At 46.5% G+C, this 5,462-nt stretch overlaps 1 annotated feature.

The window, feature by feature from the left end:
• Nucleotides 856–1,818: an enhancer, noted in NCBI's record as "H3K27ac-H3K4me1 hESC enhancer chr20:49606180-49607142 (GRCh37/hg19 assembly coordinates)". NCBI's record gives its function as "activates a minimal SCP1, AML or CMV promoter by ChIP-STARR-seq in naive H9 embryonic stem cells {active_cell/tissue: H9 hESC(naive)}" and the evidence as "EXISTENCE:reporter gene assay evidence [ECO:0000049][PMID:30033119]".

The following is a 5,462-nucleotide window of genomic DNA, read 5'->3' as shown; positions in this document are numbered from 1 at the left end:
CACCCCAGACCTGAGGGATGAGAGTCTGCATTTCCATAAGAATCCAGGTGATTGGTGCACACAGCGACATTTGAAAAGCTAGTATAAATCCACACTGGTGGGACCAGGAGCTGGCTGAGAGTAAGGTAAGGGAAGCTGAGTTTTTACTAGGATGACCAACCATTCTGGTTTTCCCAGGACATTCTTAGTTTTAGCACTCAACATCCTGTGCAAACCAGGATGATTGGTCATCCCTGCTACTGACCCAACCACCTCTGCCAGCTTCTGGGGCCCTGGTGCCTAAAATTCCCAGTGAGAAGACCCTGGCTCCCCGACTGACTAAGGCCTAACAGTCGGCTGGGTGTGGTGGCTCACACCTGTAATCCCAACACTTTGGGAGGCTGAGGTGGGAGGATTGCTTTGTTAGGAAAGTAAGAGCATAACAGGGCCAGAGTAACACCATTTTAAGTTCCGCTCCATTTGAGACTAGCAAAGCACATTCCTTGCTGGTCACCACCCATAGTCATGGGATGTTTATAGTAGAGGGAACAACTAAAGCTGCCTGCAAGGACATGCCCCTATAACAACAGAGAATCCAAATGTCCCAATACCCATAACAATATATGTTTTCTAAATAATAATAGTTATGCTTTGATGTACCCACCCAAAAATGTCAAGGATAGTTTCCTTTAACTCAATAGAATAATAAATTTTGTCATGCTGTCTGCTCACCCGCATGCAGGCATAGCTTAGTTTAGTCTTTGCATAAACAAGACCTCTATATAAGCAAAGCTTAGGCTGGGCATGGTGGCTCATGCCTGTAATCCTAGCACTCTGGGAGGCTGAGGCAGGACGATCACCTGAGGTCAGGAGTTCGAGACCAACATGGTGAAACCCCGTCTCTACTAAAAATACAAAAATTAGCCAGACGTGGTGGCATGCACCTGTAATCCCAGCACTTTGGGAGGCCTAGGCGGGTGGATCACGAGGTCAGGAGATCGAGACCATCCTGGCTAACACGGTGAAACCCTGTCTCTACTAAAAATACAAAAATTAGCCGGGCGTGGTGGCACACACCTCTAATCTCAGCTACTTGGGAGGCTGAGGCAGGAGAATGGCGTGAACCTCGGAGGTGGAACTTGCAGTGAGCTGAGATCGCGCCACTGCACTCCAGCCTGGGTGATAGAGTGAGACTCCGTCACAAAAAAAAAAAAAAAAAAAAGAGAGAGAGAGAGCAAAAAAGAAAGAAAGAAGAAAGAAAGAAAGAAAGAAAAAGAAAGAAAGAAAGAAAAAGAAAGAAAGAAAGAAGAAAGAAAGGAAGAAAGAAAAAAGGAAGGAAGGAAGGAGAGAGAAAGAAAGAAAGAAAGAAAGAAAGAAAGAAAGAAAGAAAGAAAGAAAGAAAGAAAGAAAGAAAGAAAGAAAAGCAAAGATGATGCATTCCTCTGCTTGCTTTCTGAGGACACCCTACTCTGTAACAGAGTAGCTTTCAGTAAACTCTTCCTCTCACTGCACTCTCCGACTCCCCTTGAATTCCTTCCTGTGCAAGATCCAAGAACTCTTCATTGGGGTCTGGATCAAGACTTCTTTGTCCAGTAACAGCTTGAGCCCAGGAGTTTGAGACCATCCTGGGCAACATAATGAAAACTCCTCTCTACAAATAATAAAAACAATTAGTCGGGCGTGGTGACATCTGTGGTCCCAGCTACTCAAGAGGCTGAAGTAGGAGGATGGCTTGATCTCAGGAGGTCGAGGTTGCAGTGAGCCATGGTCACACCCCTGCACTGCAGGCTGACCCTGTCTCAAAAAAATAAAAATAAAAAACATAAAGTCTAAGAGGTGTAGGGAGGCCTTGAGTTCTCTGTGGCTTGGTCCCAGCTCCCCTCCCCAGCCTCCTCCTTCTCTGCCTCTCCCTTCTCTCTTGGAAGCTCCGGGCACACAGTGGGTTTGCAATCAGCACATGAGCATGCTGAGGCAGGGAGGCCCGATCCGGAGAAGCTGCTGCTGATGGTATCGTGGTTCATGTCTAAACCTTCCAGGGTCTCTTGCTGACAGACTTGTGCACATCCTGAGGTTCCTCTGGAATGCTCTTCCCTGCCTCCTCCTGACTCCCTACTGTGCTGGCAACCCCACTCTGCACAACCGCCACTCTCCTGATGCCCACCTTGTGCCCTGCTCAGTACACACTTGCAAAGACCCACAGCCAATCCAGTGAGTGAATAGCATGCAATCAGAGGACTCATCAAACTCAGCTACCCTAAGACTTTCTTAAGCTCCCCAGTGGTTCTCAGCCCTGCTCAGGCTAGAATTTTCTGAGGGCTTTTAAAATTTATGAATGCCTGGGCCCTGATACCAGAGATTCTGGTCAAGAACCACAGAGCAGAACCCTCTGAATCCGCCAGGCGTTTCTCACCCACCCCACATTGACCCCAAAGGTCTCAGGGAACTGGGGCGGTGCAGGGGGAGGGGGATGGTTCGGAAACTCAAATGTAAAGCCACTGGGCCCACACTGGCAACCCGCATGTGTGAATCGAAGGCTATCAGGAAATAGAGGCTGCCGGGGCTGGAGCCCAAAGGCTGTCAACATGGCAGCCTAAGCAATGTATGTTCAAAGGACAGCAATGCAGGTGGCTAAGAAAGAGCTGCATCACCTTTCGGAGCCTCAGTTTCCTCCTCTGTAAAATGGGCATGCAAATGATAATGCCCACCTCAGCCGGGTGCGGCGGCTCACACCTGTAATCCCAGCACTTTGGGAGGCCGAGGCGGGCGGATCACTTAAGGTTGGGAGTTCGAAACCAGCCTGACCAACGGGGATAAACCCCATCTCTACTAAAAATACAAAATTAGCCAGGCGTGGTGGTGCATGCCTGTAATCCCAGTTACTCAGGAGGTTGAGGCAGGAGAATCACTTGAACCCGGGAGTCAGAAGTTGCGGTGAGCCAAGATCACGCCATTGCACTCCAGCCTGGACAACAAGACCGAAACTCCATCTCAAAAAAAAAAAAAAAAAAAAAAAAAGTGAACCCCTCGCAGCACCAGGCCTGTATTCCCACTGGCTCAGCTGATGGGCACGGGCTGTCCCTTGACTCACTGTCCCAGCAGCTAGGGGCAGTCCCCGTCACTGCCTGCTCTCCAGCCAGTGTGTCTTTTGTAGCTGCTTAGGGCTGTGATCCTTCTTACAGTAGAAAAACCTTCCTCTATTCTTATGGTTCTAACCCAAAGTGAGAAAATGAAAGTCATTGGAGAGAGCATGTGTTTCTTTACCCCACACCTTCTTAATTCATTTACATTCCCTGTGTGACCCCTGGTTTATATGACAGAAGGAAAGAGGAGTTTCCTTGTAAATGCAAAAAAAAAAAAAAAAAAAAAGCCTTAGAGTTCCTTGGGCCACAACACATGCTATATGCATGTTCATTCACTTCCCTGCTTTAGAGCTCATGTATGCCCAGACTGGTTAATGTGCCAGAAACAGGCATTCCTATACTCCTAACTAGACTCGGGAAGCGGCTGGCTCAACCTAGATTGCAATGGCCTGGATGGCTTGGCAGAAGTAGTGTCTGTTCCTTGTCCTTCACCTCCACCTACTGGTCCTTTCAAGAACTACAACCTTGGGTCAAAACCAAGCTCTCCCCTCTGACGCTGCTTGTAAATACCCACGTTTGTACATTTCTACAAAGGAAAAAGGAAATGTTCTTTTGGACCGTCCGTATCGGCAGGAGAAAATCATTCAGGCCGCCTCTAACAGCTGGTCTATGCCATCCTTAGGCACTTGGTGGGATCTCTTCACAATAGTTTTATGGTTTCAACTTCGAATCAGAAGTCAATCCCAGCCGGACACGGTAGCTCATGCCTGTAATCCCAGCCCTTTGGGAGGCCGAGGTGGGCAGACCACATGAGGTCAGGAGTTCGAGACCAGCCTGACCAACATAGTGACACCACATCTCTACTAAAAATACAAAAATTAGCCAGGCTTGAGGGCATATGCCTGTAATCCCAGCTACTTGGGAGGCTGAGGCAGGAGAATTGCTTGAACCCGGGAGGTGGAGATTTCAGTGAGGCGAGATCACGCCATTGCACTCCAGAGCGAGACTCTGTCTCAAAAAAAAAAAAAAAAAAAAAAAAAAAAAAAAAACAGAGGTCAATCCCAAAACCTGGATCATGCAAGCATGAGAAGAATACAGCCTTTTCTCAGGTCTTCACGTGCCTGCCTGTTTCTCATTCTTCCTCAACTCAAATGTCACCTCCGCAGTAGGTTTTACCCTGGCAACCTTTTTAAAGAAGCCATCACCAGCTACCTACCCAGTCCCTCCTTACCACATCACCAGGACTGACTTCATTTGTAGCTTAAATTATTGTTTATGTGTTTTCTACCTGTTCATCACCTATTGACCCCAATAGAAAGTAAGCATCCTTCTATTTTTGGTCTAATTACATCCTCACTACCACTCTTCAGGACTAATATTATCTTTCCAAATACCCACCCCCTTTTCATGTAAACAAAATGCTTTCTTATGGCAGAAAATTGAGAGTATACATGAAAACAGCAGGGTTTTTTTTTTTTTAAGTGAAAATAACCTGCAATTCCACCAACAAAAGAATAACATTTACTGATGGGAACACTTTTAAACTTATAAAACATCACTCATAAAACAAGAATGCAGTAAAAACCTACAGTGAAAGACAATTTTTCACCTATCAGAACGGGAGAATTCATAAAGCTTTATACTTCATTGTCACCAGGGAGTAGAGAAAGAGGTCCTCTCCTGCACAATTGACACAAACTTTTTGGGACAATTTGGCAAAATTGATCCAAACATAACATGCATATGATTTCTGCCCCAGTAATTACATTTCTAGAAAATTATCCTATAGAAACTAGTGGATATATGTACAAAAATGTTTGTTGCAGCAGTTTGTAGTAGAAAAAAGCCTAGAAACTGGTTGGGATTCTTTATCTCAGGGCCACAGACTCTCAGAGGATTCATGGATAGGATTGTATTTCCGCACAGTGGTTGGTTTCCCTTGCATTGTTACGTATTTTACTTTATGGATTTAAAAACATCTTCCTGCCAGTCACAGTGGCTCACAGCACTTTGGGAGGCTGAGGCGTGAGGATCACTTGAGCCCAGGAGTTTGAGACCAGCCTGGGCAACATAGCGAGATGCTCATCTCTACAAAAAAATTAAAAAATTAGCCAGGTGTGGTGGTGTACACCTGTGGTCCCAGCTACATGGGAGGCTGAAGTGGGAGGAACAATTGAGCCCAGGAGTTCAAGGCTGCGGTGAGCTATGATCTGGCCATTTCGCTCCAGACTGAGGAACAGAGTGAAACACTGTTTTTAAAAGAAAAAAGAGGCGGGCGCGGTGGCTCACGCCTGTAATCCCAGCACTTTGGGAGGCAGAAGCGGGTGGATCACGAGGTCAAGAGATCAAGACCATCCTGGCCAACATGGTGAAACCCCGTCTCTACTAAAAATACCAAAAAAA

Source organism: Homo sapiens, chromosome 20 (assembly GCF_000001405.40).
Source record: "Homo sapiens chromosome 20, GRCh38.p14 Primary Assembly".
In the NCBI taxonomy this organism is placed as follows: domain Eukaryota; kingdom Metazoa; phylum Chordata; class Mammalia; order Primates; family Hominidae; genus Homo; species Homo sapiens.
Note: the sequence above shows the minus strand (reverse complement) of the source record. Positions and strands in the feature narration are given on the sequence as shown.